We start from the raw sequence: 21,543 nt of genomic DNA on the forward strand, positions 1-21,543 counted from the left end.
GGAGACTGGCTGTGATAGGACACATTCTGGTTTCTTCCATGAAATTCTAATTGAGAACTCAGGGCATGGCAGCCTACAAAGGATTCTACTTCTCTGAGCTGTGGTCCGGCCTGTCGTAATATGATATCCAGTTCCTAGGCAATTCTCCCCTGTATGCTATATTTAAAATTAAATGGCAAATGATCTGCATTAATGAGGGCCCAAAGCACTGTCAGTACACTGGTAGGAAAGTCATACTTATGGTAATTCAGTTTCAATAGGTTGGTCCTGTAAAGAGAATGGCTGACAGCAGGTTATCAAAGCAATTTCCAAGTGGGCAACTGGAGATGGGCATTCTGACTGAATAGGGACAAAAGAAATGCTTCAAGGACGTAGTGAACATACTTTGTAATAACGTGAAAAAGTCAGCATTAGCTCAAAAGCCAAGCAGCGTGGAGCAGCCAGCAGAGAGCAAAGGAGGATGGAGGAGTAGAACATGGCACGAGGTAGGAAGCAGCCTGCAGTAGGTCCTCCAGTTGACAACCACGACCATAAGTCATGGATCAAAATGCATGTGCATCCATTCCAAAATGAGCTTCACACTACAAATTAGTTTTTGCAGGAATACTCACTCATAAAAAAAAATCCCACATGCAAAAGACAGTAACCATTTGAAGCTTAGTTTGTACTTTTTTCAAAATAGACAAAAACTGATTTTTCTCTCCATTATCTTTTTTTTCAAAATATGCACGATGTGTCTGGAACTATAGGTCTAATGCTGGGCACTGGGGAAACTCAGATCTTGCCCTTGTGGCACTTACATTTGAATTCTTGAATAATTCAATAGGCCATCTCTGTTCTGACTGTAAAAATATGTTAGTGTTGTTATTCTGTCTAGGCGAATATTTTTCATCATTTTCCAGCATTTTCTTTTAGAGAGTTTTAATTACGTATTCTGTCCACACATTCCCATTTGTGTTCATTTATGAGTCCATGTTTCCCACTTCCGTGTTTTAAAAAGCCAAGCTCTAACAGAAGTCAGGGGTCTTGTACAGGAAAATCGTCAGTCCCCCTCCTCATGCCAAGGATACCATAACACACCTTAAGTTGTCGATAACTTTCAGGGTTTTCTGTGCAATATGAATGTCGCATTGGTGTCTCTCAAATGAGAATTCACTTTGGGAGGTACCCAAGCTACCTTGTGACAGGCTGTTCAAAGATAAAAAGATTTTGGCTCCAAATCATCCCCTTATAAATTTTGCACAAAGGAAAACAGAAGACTGACCCAGTATCTCAAGTGCCATCTGAGTATGAAACGAACAAAAGTGCATCTGTCTCTATTTGAAGGGTTACAAGTGATCTGAGGACATGCACTGGCGTTTCGCACAGACCAAGGAACCTTTTTCATTCATTTCATGCACGTGAGAACTCAGTGTGTTTATAAATATTCAGAAAGGATTGGTCAGAAAGGATATTTTCCCCATGAAATCTTTCTAGTATAGATTCTATTCCCAATAAAAATGGCTTCTGATACAGTCTGAGAACCTAACAGGGTGTTGGGGGCAGAGGTGGATGCCTGCCTGGAATTTTGCCCTTAAAATAACTCCACTGAGAGTCTCCTCTAGTCTGTCCTGTTAAAACTGATGCTGTCCAGAAAACCACTGTTTGGATGATTTTAAAGTAGTTTCATCCAATTACTAAGGAAACATTGTCTGCCACAAGGTTGGTAGCATTCTGGTGCATGACTCTGAATTTATTTAATCTGTTTCACAGCATATAAAGGCCAATATCTTTCTTTCATTCCTTTTTTTGCTTGATTTCTCTTTTTTTCTCATTGGAGGAGCAATTTCTCCTACATGCAAAGAAGTTAATTTTGAAAGTGTGCTCCTGAAATGATATGAAAAGTAGTTTAATAGAAGAGAGATGGTTGTTCAGTCAAGTTGAAAGAAGCGTGCATTCTTGTATTTGCATAAAGCACTGTGTATGGGGCTATTTGTTAAAGTAAGTTGAATAGATAGTATTTAAATTACATATAAATAGGTGTTGTTTTGAACTGTTTATGTCAGTAAAGTAAATCTAATGACACAAACATAATAATACCTTAACTGCTTTTATAACCAGTTTACAATATTTATCGTTTGTCGAGCACAACTAGTGTTATCTGCAATTCAACAGTAATTTTCAATCACAACCTCAAAATAGTTAACGTTAAAAGGAATCAATATGTACTACGTTTTATTACATACCCATGGGCAATAGCTCCCTGTTAATGATCACAACTGCCAACTTATATCTATCACAGCAATTTTTCTCTTCATAAATTAAATGGAGAGAAGTGTGAAATAAACTCTAAGATCATGCCATGATATTTTAGTATCTGTCTCTCTCGCTCACTCTCCTTTTTACAATTTTTTTTTGACTTTGGTTATGCATTCCATTATTTAGAATTACTACCACCATGTGCTTGAGTTTCGTTATCAATATCACTAGCAGAAGGAATACTAAGAAGGCTGGTCCTACTGCTTTTTACTTTATCCTTGTCATATCACTGAGTAAAAAAAAGAAAAACCCCTAGCTTTTTAAAATCGATTCCTAGAATGTTACCTGAAAAGATCAGCCTTATGCCAAATGTGTGTCAGTGTAGAAAGAAATGTAGTTTGATTTGCTTTTTAAAGTGTTTAAAATGACACATTCTTGGATCGTTGGTATGTGTTGTCTGTGAGAGGTGACATAACAGCCGAGTGAAGGCCAGTGTGGATTCTGTCTTGAACATGCCTCATCCAGTGGTGCTTTCAACCAATATGCATTAAATGTCACCACATCCCTTCTGTGCCAGACACTGTGCTAGTTGTTGAGATTACAAAAAAAAAAAAAGGAAGAAGAGGAAAGAAGACTAAGATAAGGGCTGGTGATTGAGACGCAGAATTTGAAGTGAGGCCATCCTGGATTGGAATCTATACTCCCTTACAAGTTGTAGGAATGTTGACAAGTTACTTAACCTTATTACAAGCCTTAGTTTCCTTAAGGGGAAAATGGAACAAGTTTAGTACCCCTAATGTTGCATAGAGAATTAAATGAGTTGACTGTAATGAGTCTTTTGAATATTGTTAATGACATCAAGTCATAGGTTCTGTTCTCACAATGCTCACAGTCTAGTGACAGTGAAGGATACTGAGCAAGCAAATGTAATTGTGCTACAGTGTCACTGCTCTAGTGAAAGCTTGTTCCAGGTGCCATGGGAACATAGATGAGTGCTTCAGGAACTAGCCTGGTTAGTTTAGAGATGCTTGGAAGGCGCAGGCCAAAGGATCCCCAAGATTCCTATGTGAATTGCCTGGTTGCTTTAAGAATTCTATTCTGACCTTGGCAATTATAGGATCTTGTAGATCTAGACATGGAAACTGTGTTTTGATTGTCATCAGGATGGCACATTTCACCACCATTCAATTCAGGCCCTCCTATGTTCAGAGCACCCTGCTAGACACTAGAGAATTAGAAGATGAATGAAATTAAACATCTGTTCTCAGGATGCCCGTCATCTATCACTGGCTGCATGTCATATCAGAGTGTATGCAGCACTTTTCTGAACTCAGAGTAGGTTCATTGCAATTGTGTTACTTCTTATGACTTCTGGTTTAGAAATAGTAACTTTCCTGGGAGTGGATTCATATGGGAAACCACTTCAAGTCCCTACTGCCAAATCCACACTCTGCTGCTTCCCCACCTACCCTTTCTTTCCTCCCTCCTATTATAGAGGAGGTAGCTTTGCTCCTAAAGTCAGTCATTCCCCTGTTCTTTGACTGCACACCCAACTAGCTCAAGAACTTTGCACTGTCAGTCATCTATTCTTCATCATCAGCTTTTCCCTTCCTAGTTGCTTCTTCCCATTGGCCTTAAAATGTGACCCTCCTGTCTATTAGAAGGTTTTCACTCAACTCCATGTCTCCCTCCAAATGCAGCCCTATTTCTCACTGCCTTTCTACCATCTTCCTCCCAAAGACCTGAGAGCATTCCTTGTCCTTCCTGTGCACTCTGTCCTTACTCTACCCCAACCAGTCTCTGCTCCTACCATTCCATGAAATGTTTTAGTTAACTAAGGTAAGGAATGGCTTCACGTTGCTGATTTGCTCATTTTTTGTTGTCTTATTTGATCTCTTAGAAATATCTCACCCTTGACCCACTGCCTCCTTGATCCCTTAATTTCCATGTGATCTCATTTTCCTTTCTCCCATCTGGAGCCTGGACCTAAGTCTCCTTATCTAACCTGGTTTTACTCCACTGTCAAACCCAGGACTTCCTTAACCCTTGCCCTAGTCGTCTTTTTCTCTCACTCTTGACTCTCCACTTGGATTATTTCTTTGATTCCCATGGCTTCCCCAAATGTACATCTACAACTTGCTAGATAGCACGTTGGTGTTCCAGTCATAAAGAGGATATGTGGAACCACTGTCTCCCATCAGGAGAGTAAACAGCCTGATTGGCAATCCATTCAGGTATCTAAGACCAAACTCATGGATCTTATCACAAACTTGTTCCTTCCCTAACACTTCCGGTATTGGCAAATAGCACAGTCAGCAGCTAAAATGCAAAACCACGGAAGAATTCCCTCTCCTATCTCACTAATCACTCACCAAACCCCATTAATTCTATCTCCTATGTATGTTTCAGACAAGTCATCTCTATCCTGCTTTTCACAAACTCTGACTTGAATCTCTGCATATTTTAATTCATTATTGCCCGTACTCAAATTCTTTTGCCACATTGCAGCCCAAAATGATTTTTTCATAAGTCAACTCTCAGCATAGCTATACCTCCCCCAGAAAACTTCAGTGACTTAGGACACCTGATTCCCAAGTATTTAATATGCCCTAGAGGTACTGTGATTCTATAATCTGTCATTCTATCTGAAATACTTTTGAGAAAAAATGGAGCAATTTTATCAATGACACTGGGACAAGTATAAACTGGGACTATGCTGGGAATCTGAGACACAGGGTCTCATTGTATCCTCAACTTCCAGCACAGGGTCTCACGGTCTGGTTCATAGAATAGAGGACCCTCCATAAATGTTTACTGAATACATGACTGAGTGGAAGGGTGTGTCGTTATATGACATCTTGCTGAAGAGAAAGGGACTCAGCTCAAATGGGTGGTTGGCCCAGGTGACTGTCTGTTGTGGTTCTTTGTCCCCAAAGATACTAGAAATCTGCATTTCAAAGTGTTCTAGGTCTGTTCTTTCCACAATATAAGCAGATGAATCTATTTTCAAATGAAATATTAAGGGTAATGCCAACATACACGACAGTTAAAAGTGAAAGCTGCTCTAAGTGAGGTTGAGGATTGCCTGACCCTGCCATGTCAGCCTCCCTCTGACCTTCCCTGCCTAAATCTACCTGGGAGAAGTCTTTGGGCCAAGAGAAATATAAATTACAAATTGTTTTTCTAGACCATTGATACATTTTCTCAAGCAAACTTAAAATATCTGAAAGTTAAATCAGAGATTCTCTAAATGTGCCATTTGCCAGTGAGTTCATGATCTCCCCTTTGGTGATATCCAGACACCGTAACTGCTTTGCCATTACTACCACTGTACCATCATCTACTTGTTTAAACCCTTCGTATGCCAATTTGATAGGCCCTCCCTCTAACTCCAACTCAATTAAACCCATTAGATCTCCCACCCACTCATTCAATTATGAATGTATATTGAGTATCCAGTATTCCAGGATCTGGGTTCTCAAATCTTATTTCTTACCATTTTTCATGCTGTGCTCAATGTAAGCCAAGTCCATTTGTTCTACCTTTATTAATAGCTAGCTTCCATTTACTGAACTACAATTCCTGATGAGATTCTAAGGACTTTGTATGCATCACTGAGTCCTTATGAGTTAGGTATGACCTCAACTGTAAAACGGATTTTCATGTTATAGAGGAGGAAACTGAAACTTGGAAAGGTTAACTAATTGGCTTAAATTTAAATAGCTAATTAAGAGAAAACCTGGGTCATAAAGAATAATGTCTGGCAGGAGTACACCTTCCATATTGTCTCAGTCTCTTCAGGTCACTATAACAAAATACCATAAACTGGGTAGCTTAGAAGTAATAGGAATTTACTTTTCACAGTTTTGGAAGGTGGGAAGTCCAAGAGCAAGGTGCTGGCAGATTTGGTGTCTTCCTGCTATGTCCTCACATAGTGGAAGGGATAAATGGGTTCCCTAAGGCACTAACCCCATTCATGAGGGCTTCACCCACATGACCTAATCATCCCCCGTAGCCGTGCCTGCTAATACCATCACCTTGGTGATTAGGGTTTCAACCTATGATGTTGAAGAGACAGAAACATTCAATTCATTGTACATATCATCTGTCTTCTATATGTGACCTTCTACTTTCTTGGTTGTGGCTTTTGAGATTTTACTCTAAAACTTACTTCCTCCAGTAAGTCTTCCATATAATCTAACCTGATGTTGAGTGTTCCTTTCCTTATGACATGGCATACAGCCTGTTGAAAGTGTTAGTATTTTACTTTGTGATGATTGTCACTTCTTCTCGTATTTCTTCTCACATAACATTTCCATCTAAAATAATAAAGCAATTGTCTCCAAGGGTCTTTTTCTATTTATGTGAATGTACGCGTGTGTATTTTCTTTGTAGCTCCCACTTTTAGTGATTACATACACATTACACACTCAGATACCATTGCCCGATTTCATAATATAACACTTAACAACACGTTTTAAAATGTGGTTAAAAGTTTAGATCCTAGGTTGGGCACGGTGGCTCACGCCTGTAATCCCAGCACTTTGGGAGGCTGAGGCAGGTGGATCACGAGGTCAGGAGATCGAGACCATCCTGGCTAACATGGTGAAACCCTGTCTCTACTAAAAATACAAAAAATTAGCTAGGTGTGGTGGTGGGTGCCTGTAGTCCCAGCTACTAGGGAGGCTGAGGCAGGAGAATGGTGTGAACCTGGGAGGCAGAACTTGTAGTGAGCTGAGATCCAACCGGGGCACTCCAGCCTGGGCGACAGAGAGAGACTCCATCTCAGAAAAAAAAAAAAAAAGTAAAAATGTTTAGACCCTGGAGGCGATTGTCCAACATTTACTAGCTACTTAACCTTTCTGTGCCTCAGTTTCCTCATGTGTAGAATGGGGCAAGAATAGTGTTTACCTCATAGATTTATTGAGAAGAGCATATAATTATATATCGTAATTATATATGTATATATATGTGTGTGTATATATATATATATATGTATATATATAAATTGGAATAACACCTGGCGTGTACTAATTGCTATGTAAGCGAAAGCTATTGGTGTTGCGCTTGTCATGGCAGGAGGAACAAGTCCTTTATTCTTATTACTTAACAAAGATTAGTGGTGACTCTGGCTTTCCTAGGTCTCAAAGACCTCAAAACTTCCAGCTTCCTTCACCCTCCCACCTGCCCAGCTTACTGCTGCCTGCCCTTCCTCTGTGGTCTCTACGCACCCTGTTGCTTATCGTCTGTTACTCTGATTTCTCTTAGCTTTTCTTTCCAGCTATCACTACATGTCTCTCTTCCTCCCTGTGCCCCTACTCTTTCAGACAGTTTGAAAGGCCCTTCACTGACTAAGGTAATAGTAAAGCCCTCAATTATTCCATCAAATTCACTTATTAGACAGAAGGCACCAATATTTTTAGTGATGGAGTAGATGGCAAAGTGCAAACTTAACAAGGAGCAAAGGTAGTTTGTGGTTTTCTATCTCGGACCCAATGACTGCAGCTCAAAGGAGACGTGCAAAGAATATTAAAAAAGTCACATTAATACCTGAGTGACAGTTCCACAGAGTACACTCAATTATCTCTGATTTTGGAGAGAAGTAAGGATGATCCCAAAACAAGTTGATACATTCTCACAATAGCCCTCAAATGGAGAATTCTAATTCCAATAAAGTACTTGTACATTTACCTTCATTTCTCTCCCTCAATCAATATTCTTTCAGTTTCTTCTGTTATTTGGTGGAAAAGGCTTCAATTAGCTGATTATCTGTCTTTTAGTTCTTACGGTGTTTGATTGCCTGCAAACAAAGAAAGCTAATAATCTATTTCTATCGAGGAAGGTGTTTTGTCTGCAGGAGTCAGAGAGCATCTGAAATGAGCTGGGACGGAGCTCGGCCCGAGGAGAGGATTTGAAGGAAGTCCTGCCGGGAGATCAGAGCACCCAGGGAGTAGTTACGGCTCTGCGTTTAAAATCCACCAATCTTGTGTTCTGACTGGAAATAAGTGTTAGTTCTGAGATTTTCAAATGGGTGTGTGTTGGCACTATTGGTGGATGCTTTAAATAAAGGAACCAGGGGCCTTGTGAACTGGCTGTAGGGAAGTCAGCTTCCACACACGGCCCTGTATCCTTCTATTCTGCTTGCCAAACCATGCTAAGTAGTAAAATCTGATCTTAAAACCACTTACAACCCCAGATTAAACGGATCTGTCTTTCTCTCTTAACCTTATTGCCTGACTGACTCATGCCCAGCTAAGGGTTTAGGGAAGGTGGTTTATGTGGCCGAAGCCCAAGTCACATTTATAGTCTTACCAAACAGCAAAATACACAAACAGCCGGTTAGCTCTTCCCAGGAACAAAAAAACTCATCAAATGAGAGAAATTATAGTCGACATTTCTACATTAGTACTACAGCTCGCTCACATTTGTAGGGTGCTTACCATGTGCCAACACAATTTTAAGGGCCTTACTTGAAGAATTCTTGCCACCTTCACAGCAACCCTATGAGGTGGAGAATATTATTATCTTCACTAATATGGATGAAAACATTCAGGCCGAAAATGTTGATCAGCTTGCCTGAGGTTAGAAGCATGTTACAGGCAGAACCAAAATGAGACCAAAAATGAGTTGATGCATTTCCTTTCAGTGACTTCAATAACTCTTTTGGTTGGTTTGTTTTTTTGAGACAGGGCCTGGCTCTGTCGCCCAGGCTGGAGTGCAGTGGTGCGATCATGGCTCACTGCAGCCTCGACCTCTCAGGCTCAGGTGATCCTCCCACTTCAGCCTCCAGAGTAGCTGGGACTACGGGCATGCACCTCAACACCCAGCTAATTTTTGTATTTTTTGTAGAGAAAGGGTTTTGCCATGTTGCCCAGGCGGGTCTCAAACTCTTGAACTCATTATCCACCTGCCTTGGCCTCATAAAGTGCTGAGATTACAGGCGTGAGCCACCATGCTCGTCTGACTTGAATAATTCTATAGATTTCCATAGCAAAAAAAAAAAATTGTTTTACTCATAAGAGTAAAATATGTAAAGTATAAAAGTATAATAAGTAAAGTATAAAAGAATGATAATAATGAGGAAAATGCAATGAACCTATGAGGTAATAATAAAAATACTTCTTTAAGAACATTGAGAATTGACTGTAGATGAAATATGTGTTTGGATCCCACTCTGTTTTTCATGATTCCAGCCATTTCCAATCTTTTATAATTCTCTTTGATAAACATTTATAAATGTTAATAGAAACATATATGCCAGTAGTTCCCTAAGTTAAATACCCCACAATTCTCAAAGAATTAAAAACTCATGAAAAATGTATTTTTAATAAGTCATTATACGAAAGAGATACTTGCACACACATGTTTATAGCAGCACAATTCACACTTGCAAAATCGTGGAACCAACCCAAATGCTCATCAGTCAATGAGTGGATTAAAAAACTGTGGTATGTATATGATGGAATACTACTCAGCCATAAAAAGGAATGAATTAACAGCATTTGCAATGACGTGGATGATAAGCTATGAGGACTCAAAGGCCCAAGAATGATACAAGGGATTTTGGGGACTTGAGGAAAAGAGTAGGAGGGGGGTGAGGGATAAAAGACAACAAATATGGTGCAGTGTATACTGCTTGGGTGATGTGTGCACCGGGATCTCACAAATCTCCACTAAATAACTTACTCATATAACCAAATACTGCCTGTACCCCAATAACTTATGGGAAAAATAAAGTAATAACAAAAATAAAATAATAAAAATGTCATTTTAACTCTCATTCTTTGTAAATGAACTGGTCACTTCCATCCAAGCCTCTGAACCATTACTCACCTTTCCCCACCCTTCTCCACTCTGCTCTGTGTCTTAGGTGGCTGCAGGGCCTGAATGTATAGTAATTGACGGATATCATTTTCCTTAGGCTTTCATTGGGTTTAGCTAATGAGAGGCACTGACAGATGAAGGATGGGAAGGGAATAAAGCCAGGGTATCTGGTTCCCTCCTGACAGGTCATCCAGGTCACTTCATGGTGGCTGGTTGAGGACACCACAGTTCCTTGTAGGTGGCCCTCTCAAAACAGCTCTTTTGGGGTTCAGAAACTGTTCCCCCTCTTTACCTCTTCAGGCCTCAGGGTTCAATAATGCTCCCTACTACTACTAGTCCCAGAGTACCTCGATGAAGCTGCCACCCACACCTTTGAAAGTTGTGCCTTTACTCTCTTCCATTACTCAATATGAGTGTGCATCTATTTCCCACCTAGATCCTGATTGAAACAGAGACCTTTACAATTTACTGCGATTTCATCCATTTAATATTAGTCTTTGCTGTGTCCAAGACCAGTTTTTCTACATTATTTTAACAGAAGAAACTCTACCAAGTTACTGCTCATAAGCATATGGTATAATTTCTGTAACTCAGGTGGAATTTGTAACCCTTTATTCAACAGCAATTCTAAGTTGCGAGTAATTTCCATTTTAATCATGGAGAAAAAATCTAGATTAATTGCGCGTGACAGAATTAGGTAATGTCATTACCATCTCTGTATATTGTCAGAGCCATTGGGGTCAAGAGGCTTCCCAATGATGAATAAATTGCTTGACTGCCTGGTGTTGGTTGACCTAATAATTTTTAAAGTAGTTATTGTATCCTTAAATTATTCAGGTGCCATGAAGAACATAGATGAGATGAAGATAGATCTGTTTGCTGTGATAGTAGATTAACCATCTAAAACCATCTTTCAGAAGTTTTGGTTCTTTTATGAATGGGTTGGGTAGAAACTCACTAGGGTTAAAATCAATACTGGTATTTCTTTTCCCCAAGTGTACATTCTCCTAAAATCCAAGTCTTAAGAGTACCTGCTAGGAGTCGAGACCAAAAGGCCTTATATTTTATAAAATGGTTCTCTATATCGAAAAAATAAATGCATAATTGGCTTTATGTTGTGCAATAGACATAGTCTTAATGAAAGTTTTGGGAAAAAAGCAAGAATTACAGATTGATTCCTTTCAAACTCTTTTATCTTGAACCGCAAATATGATTAATACATCCGGCTGTTTAGGTAAGGTTCTTTGGAGATTGATATAAGACAATTGTAAGAAAAAAACAAATTTCAAATATGGATTTAACAATATACTTATTACCACACAAAAGTTGTTTACCTATTCAAGAGACATAACTTGGCTATTGCTGAAGTTAGCCTTTTATGCATAATAAATCATCCCAAAACTTAATAGGATTAACGTTCATTTAACCTGTAAGTCTCTTTTTCAGGAATTTGGGCAGGGCTCAGGTGGGCAGTTCTGGTTACATTTGAATTGATTCAAGCATCTTCAGTCGGCAGTCAGGCCAGTTGAGAGCTGACTAGCCTAGGATCACGTCTACTAGGAGAACTCTTCTCAGTTCCACATGGTCTCTCTTCCTCCAGCAGGTTGGCTGGGCTTGTTCATAGGGCAGCTGGGTAGAACTCCAAGAAAGCCAGTAGGAGCATGAAATAAAGGCACAATATCACTTCCTCCACTTTCTATGGGTATGGGCCAAAGAAAGTCAATAGGCCACTCAGATTCGAGGGGAAGGAAAGTAGAATCTGTTTGTTAATGGCAGGAGCTTCTAAATTCCAGAGCAAAAGGCATGGAAACAAGGAAAAGTGAAGGACTGTAGCCATTTTGCAATCTACCAAAATTAGATAATAAGGAATAATGTGGAATGGGAATGATGAACCAAATACTACATTGGGCTTTTTTGTGATTAAAGGAGGTAGGTAAGGAAGGGACATTGTTTTGCATGTATCAACATACACAATAGCACACCCACATATAGAGATGCTTCCATTAAATATTTCTCAGACACAGCAGGCCTTGTATCTCTCTACCAGCAATCCACTCTGGTCTTGCTTCCCTTTTCTTTTGTGCAATCTACAGTTTTTCATTTTTCTTTCTTGGCTTTTGTTTTCCTGCCCCTTCTACTGACTCTCTGACTCCCAGCTGTGCTCTAATCCTCCTCTGAGCGAGTTTTATGCTTCTCTTGTCTCTCTTATCCTGCTTACTGTGTATTCCAAAGTCTGGCAGGAACCATGTCAATAGAGAAAACACTCAGTCATTTGGCAACGTGAAGAAGCAATTAGATGCCAGCTTCTAAAGGGCTAGAGGACATTTAAACTCCAAGTGCTAGAAATCTTACTGAAATTGCAGGCAGAACAGAGGGAGAAGTACTTGAAGAGTTATTAGCTAGCCAGAGCTTGGCCCCATCACATTTTTGCCATTGCCTATTATAAGAAGGCTTCCATGTTCTGGGTTGAGCCACTATGAGTAGAAGGGAGATCAATGAGCATCCTCAGAAATAATGAAAGCTTGTCTCAGTCCTTTAAGAATAAGACCTGGAGAAAGTGATTCCCTGATTCCCGGAGCATAACAGGACACTTTGGATGCACATGACAATGTAGAAGATAATTCCAAATTCTATAGCTAATCCGCAGCACAGTTAATCTCTGAATAGTTACAGAGATGTGTATTATAATTGGAAGCACAAAAGTGGCCATTTATTTCATTTTGTACAATGCTTGTTATTGCATTCCAACTCACAGTAGCTATTACTCAAACCTCTATTTTCTATTGTTATTCTTTTAACGCAGACTTTGCCCCTTACCCAAGCCAGGGTTGTTATTCCACAGAGGGTTTTCCAGACATCATTAACCACAGGAAGAGATCATAACACAGCAGAAACTTGGGATTGAATAACAACCTTGAAATTCAAACTGACATCATGTATTGTTGTTTGCATTATATCCTAAACAGTTATTAGGAACAATTAGCAATTAAAGACTCTTAGGTGCAGTTATATGGTTTTCTACAATATATCCTGAATAGCAGGATAAGTGCTTTGGCTGCAAGCCAATCATCAAAAGCCAACAGAAAACTCTAACCTAAAATGCGTGCTCCTTTATGGCCATTGAGCAAAGTATGTTAATCAAGCAAAGCCATACACGAGATGGGGAGACTTCAGGTGTAAACTTTCGCTATGAAGCCTATCCCCATTTTATCCAAACTCTATGTAGCCCCAAAGAAATAGGATTTATACACATATCTTCTCCACTTAACTTTTATGAAAAAGAGACACATAATAAGCACAGAAACAGATATCCAGAAATATTTTTAAAGGAATATGTCCTGATTTCAGGACAAAATTAGTGTAATAGCGTCTATCTTCTAGTCCTTTAGTAGTTCTACCATGACACTGGTGTTCATTATAATGATCCTGAGGCCCTAAATATTCTTTCTGAAGCATCAACGTGATATTACATCAGAGTCAAGCTAATTTGAATGTTAAGTGTAGTCTACACATATTTAATTCCTTGAAAATCAAGTAGTATATACTGATTTTTAGTTTTCTCACAATATTCATCTTGCCAGGGGGCCATATTCTCAATTACATTGAATAAATTGGATTTTGTGCTTTATTATGTATTGTGTTTATTTTATTAATATCAAAGTGCTGGCTCCAGTTCACCCACTATTAATAGTTATATAAAGCTTTTTTTCTGTTTCCAAATCAGACACTGATTATAGATATAGGAAGCTGAACTCAATCTCTATTCAGCACAGTTTTAAAGAACATGGAATAGCCTGAAGGCAAGCAGGTGTCCAGCTTCTATCAGGCGCTCAGTGTGGAAACAGAGAGAAACATCAGGAGAGTAAAAAAATTCATTCAAATGGCTGTTGTTTTTTTTTTTTTTTAAAAAAAAAAAGAATAAAAGAGAGTAGGAAAACAATTTCAATTGCTCACTGACTTTGCTTACTTAAATCTTTGGAGTAAATTGTAAATAAACAGCTGATCCAAATTGACTAGTGTGGCTTACATCCTTCCCCATTCCAAATGTGTCAATAAAAGTGTTAGTGTGAAAGAACTGAGAAGGGTGGGGCTCCTATTATATTTTTGGAAATAACTTGAACCGCTCAAACTTTACATAAACTCAAGTTATATTAAAGAGAGGAAAGCATGACAACATAAATTGGAAACATTACAATCCAATTTCTTACTTTTGTAAGTACGAAGAAACAATATGGACAATAACATTTCAAAGTTTAGAAATAAAGTATATGATTATCTGTGAAGCAAGATAAAGCACTTATGAATTAACCTCTGGTAATTTCTCAAAGATTTTATTTGTTTCCCTAATAATTAGTTATTGTAAGTAAATGAAATTATACATAAAGAGAAGATAAATTATGTGAGCAAGCAGACATACTAAAACTTAATATAAATACATAAATATGCACAATTAGAAATATTATTTGCATAACCCTATTTATTTTTTAATATAAAAATAGAAATGCAGATATGCAATTGCAAAATACAGTATGGAAAATAGTTAACCAGAATCCAGATATTATGTGCAAACTGTAATTTTACATTTATAATGGAAAGTAACATTAAAGGAAGCTTTGCATTCTTTTAAAATATGAGCTTAATAAAATAATCTGTGATTTTGGCTTATCAATAAGGGCTTTCTTATCTGGGGGTAAAGTAGTCTCAGGAGCATGGTGCCTGCCTTCCTGAGATGGGCTTATCTTGAACACGGGCTGACTTTCCCTTGTGTTTGAGCTCATTCATTTCCCCCAGGTACTGAAGGTTTTCTAAGACGTCTGTTCTTCTCATTGATTGAGTGAAGAACAATCTCCCTCAGTGAGTGAGACACAAAAGGTCTTTTGCACACAGTCGGAACGTGAGTGCTTCAGTGAGGAAGTGTTTCTCATGCCTCTGGGTCTTTACTCTTGTTGCTGCTGATATACACTTCCAGGAGATGGAGCTATGGCTCAGTTTGAATTCTCACATCTTTTGTGGTCTGCTCAAGGAAAAAAACAAAAAATTAAGATCTCAGAATCTTTTTTGAGCAGTTTAAAAAGTAACCATTGCTGTATGGCATTGGGAGGTGGGAAATGGATCGAACTCTTTTGTATTTAATCTATAGGTTTGTAGATTAAATACAAGAGTTCCTTAATTTAAAGCATTTTAATACACTGTGTTGGTGAAAAAGCTTGAAGCTCAGGCTTCTCTTGGATAGAACTCAGGATTTATGACCTCTCTTCAAGACAGAGAAAAAGGCTATTTTTTAGAAAAAGAGAAAACATTAAAAGAAATCAGAGTTGTTGTTGGTTGTTTCTAAAGGAAACCAGCTCATTCCAAAATCTGATAAAAGAATCATCCTGTAATTATAATTATTAAAATAGTGCTGTTTTACTTTTTCCATTTGTCTACCCTAAAATATGTTTATCTAAATGTTCCCCCTTCCACCTGCCCTGGTTTAGCCTTTATTAAAAGTCAGAGTATTGTTGCGCCTCTGATGAGTTTCAAGTAGGCTTTCATCTCATTATGCACTTTGCATATAAGAAACCTCCAATTTATGGCTGATTTCTCAAAATACAGTAATTGAGTTTGTTGCCAGCCATGCAGGGTAATCATCCAATCATGAAAACCTGCTCTGTATGGAGGAAAGTGTTCTGGACCAGTGGATTAGGGATGACAGGTGTTCTTCCTGGTAGCCAGCTGTTTCAGGAGCAGTATCATAGCAGGAGTTTCAGAAATAAGTAACAGCCATGACAACAATCATTGTATTTGAAGAGTGTTTATGATTATAGAATGTTCCATGAGCTTCACGTTCCTTGAGCCCCTGATGACCATCCATGTGTGTGAGATTGGTGCTATGAGGTGCTGAATTTATGGACCAGGCTCACGGAGGAGATGGAGTGATGGAAGTCACACTGCTAGTAAGTGGAAAAGTTTGGCTTCTTGTCCACACCATCAAATGCCTCACTTCATGCGCTAGTGGCATGTTTTGTTTGGATGTCTTTGTGAGTGTGCGTGTATGAGTGTGCGTGTGAGTGTGTGTGCAATGATGTAAAATAGTCTTGCTTCTGATGGGCATTTGTGCATATCCTCGTGTCTGGCAGGACTATCCAGGGATGCACAGCATAATCAGACTTCTTATCCAAACTGGGGGAGCCCTTATCTGTGTTTGGGACCACCTATATGACATCAATTTAGATAGGAGTAAAAGCGTAGTCAACCAACTATTCCTACTGTTAGATGTTGTCCCGATTTTATCACATTCTTTTGTGTTTGTGTTTAATTTATAAGTGGTAACATTTGGGTTTTTTATTCTAAGCTTCAAATTCTCTTTACTTTCTTGATTTCTTATTTTAGTTAAAACTAAACAGGGTATTATGGCTGATAACTACTAGTTAAAATTAAATTACCATGAAGAGAAAAAGTGAAATTTTATCCTAGTAACATGACGATATTTTTCTTTAAATTATAGGTTTGAATGTGAAGTTTCATAATACATAGATATGAGTTTCTCCCAATCTCTAGCAGCTAGAAATACTCTAGCTAGGTACAAAATATTCATCATGCTAGTTGTTTTAAATATACTATCGATATCACATGTAGAAAACCTGGACTTAACTCAGACCTTAGTATGAATTCTGGCTCTTTCTCTTACCAGCAATATAACTGGAGTAAATTATTTATCATCTCCGAGTCTTGGTTTCTTCAACCATAAAATGGGGAGGCACTCAACCTCACAGGGACATTGTAGAAGACTGAATAACAAAATAAATCTTTAATACTATTAATATATTTAAGGATGGTCCTATTGCAGGTTACAATTTTTTTTAACCATTCTTTCTGTCTTTTCCATTCAATGATTTTGTAAATGCCCATTGCTCTGGTATTTATTAGGATGTCTGAGTGCTTTTAATTTTGGTCTGAACTGAGTCAAGGAAACAGGTGATTCGTTTTGCCAACGAAATAAGAATTTACTGACTTTCTGAGTTATGTAAGTTTTGTTTTGCTCTTATAAATTTGAGCAGGGAGCATGTAAATGCTGCTTTCAGAAGAATAAGGGGAAGCAAAGCAAAATGAAAATGAAATAATTCCCCAAAAGGATTTCCAAATCATTTCTACTGATTTAGGCAAGAGGGGGTGGGGACTCTGTCAAAAAGGTTCCCTGGACCCAGCAGCATGAGCAAACCTGCTGGCACATCTTTGCCACCACAAAAAATTGGCTCTGAAACGACCATTCTGTGTTAGTTTTACCTGCATGTTTTCAGTTGTCACTAGCCTACTCAGGGGACCGAAGAAGAAAGCTTTTTTCCAGAACCAGTAGGTCTACAGGGGTCTGAGAGCAGGGATCTGCCAACAGAAAATTAGAGTAATAAGGAAAGCACATTAACAAAGGCTCTTTTTCTTTTAAGAAGCATAAAAAAGAACCGTCCCATCAGATGTGGCTTCTTCTAAGTGTTACTGCACTTAGCAATTTTTAAAATTCTCAAAATATAAAATACGAGAGAAAAGGAAGTGTGACATTTTACTTTTTGTATGTTTTTCTTCAGACTGGTCTCATATGCTAATAATACCTATAACTTATTCTATTTACTTTCACCTATAAGCTATAGATTTAAGTTAGTGAAGGTGTCAGTGTGCTATATATAGGGCCACATCGTTAATTATACATTTTATAACTTTTGGGTGAATTGAATGCAAGATAGGCCAGATGCTGGGAGTGTTCTGGGTAGAACTGCACTGTTAGACATACACAGGAAGGGATTTAAAGGGGGAAAAAAGCAACTATCTCTTCCTAATTCAGCTCAATCTCTAGCTGATTATTTTGGCTTCTCATCTTAATGGTAGCGCCCGAAAATAACTTAGAAAAATAATCACAAACTCTACACTCTAAATCTCATATCCTAATAAAGGAACCCTATAAACCAACATTAAGATAGGTGAGAAGAATATAAGTGGTATGCAATTTAAGGAATGAAATAGCAGCAATTTGCATTTCTTCTGTCTCATTCAGTAGCATTCATTCTTGTTTCTTATTAAATAAGTCTTGTAAGGTACCTTGAAAACACCAGTGGCAAAGTGATGGACCGGTCAAGAGACGCTTTAAAAATGTTGGTCTCCAGGTTTTATAAGCACAGTGCTTTGAGTGTTTCGTGTTTGAAGATGATGAAGATAATTAAATGTAAAAGAAAAATCTCCTTCAAATAGGGAGCTTGCAAGCAAGATAGGTACATACACCATTAATCATACTGTGATTTAAGCACCTAGAAAGTCATTGCTCAATTATCACTGCTAATGAAGAGGAGCAGTAGTGCCGGTGATCCAACATGGCAGCTAGAATAATTTATATTCAAGTCAAAATGACTTTTGGTACTTACATTTGAATATAATGGTGTCTGGTATTCTGGGACTCCTAGCTGAGCGCCCAGCAGGCAGGAGGGTTCCCACACATGCACTTGCTCATTGTTCCCTTGCAGAAGCAAAGGAAGCAAAGGAAGCATGCGTGCTTCAGCCGGTAGAAAACGGCTCAGCGGCTGGGGCTCAGCTTCCTAAACCAGTGACAGGGCGCAGATCGGTGTGTTTGCTACTACCCAGGCCTGCAGTGGTGCAGCGGGATTGGGGGAGGGGGATGGGGGAAGACTTCACCTGCCTGATATTTGTGTGTCTGTAGACCATTAGTGGATAAGTAAAAGATAATGACGTATAACCAAAAACATTTTAATGAGAGTAAAACAATGCATGAGAAATCAGAGCAGTAGGTCTGCCCAGTTTGCTAAAACAGCCCCTTCGTAAAAAATATATCATGTTACTTGATTTACCCGAACCCAAGTGCCTAGGCATAACTTATTTCAGCAGTGCCTGCCGTTTAATAGAATACAAGATAAATTTTTGCATTTCTTCAAACTGTTGTATTTCCTACTTTTAGCCTGATGGTTGGGTTAGATCTAGTTTTTAAAGTGGGGAGAAGAGTATGGCCGGGAGTTACAGCAGGTGCTTTAAGGAGATGGCAAACATTTCAGGATCAGTGTGGTATTAGAAATAGCTCTGCAGTAGGAAAGCTGCAGAAGTCTTGCAATCTTGCTGTAATCAGAAGGCAGTGCGAGTGCTGAGATCATTTTATTACAGAAAGAATGAGATGTGGGAAGGAAGAGAAAATACATATCTATGTTCTTAATCTTAGTATATTGACTTATATTTTGTTTCTCTATTTTTCTCATAAGAATCTTTTTTTTTTCCTAAAAGACATTGTTGCAGAATACTTTATCTCAAAACCATCACTGCATCATTATAAATGTATTGTTTAGGAGGATTTCAAGGTCTTCCAGATATGAATGAAAAATCATTTATTAGCAGATAAAGTTACTAATTGAATGAGAGGTAACCACGGTCGCAATTGCACATTGTTTTAACAGTTGTCCCGAGAAGACACTTCCAGACTGATAGGCCTCAAAGAAAAATATGTGTTGTATTCTACAAATATTAATAATCTAGACACAAGTGTTAGAGATGAAACTTAGGGAAAAACAATACAATTCATGGCTTCAGTGTTTTTAATATCTAATGGGGGAAATAGTACTCATAGGATTTATATAGTATTTTTTTTTATTTTGGCTATACAATTTGCACACTGTGAGTCATGCAAGCTCAATACCGTGTGTTCAGAATGAGAAACTTGTCTTGTTTCATTTTTGTATGTTCCCAGTGCAAGGTAAGTTTCTTATACATTTAAGTGCACATAAAATATTTATTGAGCTGAAATAAAAACTATATTTTGCTACTCAAAAGTAACCAAATGATCATCATCACAAAGAAATGCATAAAAAGCAGGCTGATGAGAGGATAGTGAAACAGCCATTCTTACTGTCATATATCTTTTTTTCTTTCTTTTAAAAACTGTAGAGTAAGTAGAATTGAGGTAGCTGGTTCTTTGTGTTAGTTATGAGGCTTCTACTTGTGAGTATAATAAAGGTGATCCTAATAGTTAGTGGAACTATGGTAATTTGTTGGATCTCATAGAGTCTATGGGTAGCAGCTTCAGGCCTAGTTGGATCTAGCTGTTGAAACAATACTGTCAGGGATTCCCGTACAGTTCTCGAATCTGCTTTCCTCTCCTTTGGCTTTTTTTCTGACACTGTCTTTTCTCTTACTGACAAGTTGAACTTCAGAAACTTCAGGCTTACATCCTAAGTACATATCTAATGATAAGGAAATCTGGCAAAAAGGAGTACATATTTCCATAGTTTCACCCACAACATCTGGGCTGACACTTAGAGATTCTGATTGACCTCTCTTGTATCATAAGCATTTTCTGAGTCAGTTTCTGGAGCTGGAAGAAGTTGGCCACCCTGATTGACCAGACCTGGGTCACATTTCAGAATGAGGAATGCTCAACTCCCAAAGGAAAGGTAAAATGCTTCTAAGAGTTGTTGGAGAAATGGTTATTGGGCAGACAAAAAGAGTCTTATGTAGGGTAAGAACTTAAGTGTTCATTAAGCTGAAGTATAAGATCACTTAAGTATCTTGGCAGACAGAACACCAAGAAGACATGTTAGCCTACAAATAGACACTTTGGAAAATTTAGTCACAAATCGTTATGGTGTTCATTTTGGGATAAGGAGTATTTTCTAATATACGAGGAAAATTTTTAATATAAAGATATGGGAAGTAAAGTTTTATTCCTGTGTGAGTCACTACTTCCTTCAGAGTTTTTCTTTTTTACCCAAATGGTATTTTATCAATGAGGCCTTTCCTAACTACTCTCTGTAAAATAAACCATGCCTTACAAGCCCTTCATGACAGCCCCAGCACTTTCTATGCCCTTTATCTTGCTTTATTATTTTTACATATTTTATTACCATTAGGCATCTCATGTATTGACTTATACATCCTATACATTTATTGATTATCTGTCTTTCCTTATTAAAATATAAGTTCCATGAAAAATTTATTTACTTCTCACTGTTCATCAAGGTGACCAGTGTTTATTCGTTGAATAATAAATATTTGGGGAGTGGATATGTGAATGAATGAATGAATGAATGAGATGTTTTAAGTGGTCAAATTAGATTTTCAAAAGCCTAAGGAAATTCAGTTCTGTGTGAATAGATATAATTATTTCATTGATTATGAGTTTTTAAAATAATAACACATAGAATGAAATTTAAATACATATACTTCTTAAATGTAAGGGAAAATAATACAGAACACCTGAATTGGCTTTAATTTATCCAATTGTGTTTATTGCTGTAAACCTAAGTTACTAGGTTTTGGTCAGGCTGGAGATTATACTGATATTACTTGCGCTATAAATTATGTTGCTATTTATATACTGATATTACACTATAAATTATGTTGTTGCCTCTCTCAGTACTATCAAATGCAATAAATAGTAAGTCTATTTAGAGTGAATGGTTCCATAATAGTGGGGTTGTAGTAGACATAAATAATTTTCATGTGTTCATTGATATA

At 38.0% G+C, this 21,543-nt stretch overlaps 1 long non-coding RNA gene across 1 annotated transcript, besides 1 other annotated feature; it reads right to left on the reverse strand.

Moving 5' to 3' along the window:
• Positions 12,032 to 12,565: an enhancer, noted in NCBI's record as "NANOG hESC enhancer chr4:182179677-182180210 (GRCh37/hg19 assembly coordinates)". NCBI's record gives its function as "activates a minimal SCP1, AML or CMV promoter by ChIP-STARR-seq in primed H9 embryonic stem cells {active_cell/tissue: H9 hESC(primed)}" and the evidence as "EXISTENCE:reporter gene assay evidence [ECO:0000049][PMID:30033119]".
• LINC02500 (long intergenic non-protein coding RNA 2500) lies at positions 14,524 to 18,537 on the reverse strand. The gene is made up of 2 exons (NR_149139.1): positions 18,453 to 18,537; positions 14,524 to 15,076 (listed from the first exon to the last, which is right to left on the reverse strand). It is a non-coding gene; the product is annotated as a long intergenic non-protein coding RNA 2500 (long non-coding RNA).
• Between the last annotated feature and the right edge of the window lie 3,006 nt (positions 18,538 to 21,543).

The sequence above is a fragment of the Homo sapiens genome, chromosome 4 (assembly GCF_000001405.40).
Source record: "Homo sapiens chromosome 4, GRCh38.p14 Primary Assembly".
NCBI classification, from domain to species: domain Eukaryota; kingdom Metazoa; phylum Chordata; class Mammalia; order Primates; family Hominidae; genus Homo; species Homo sapiens.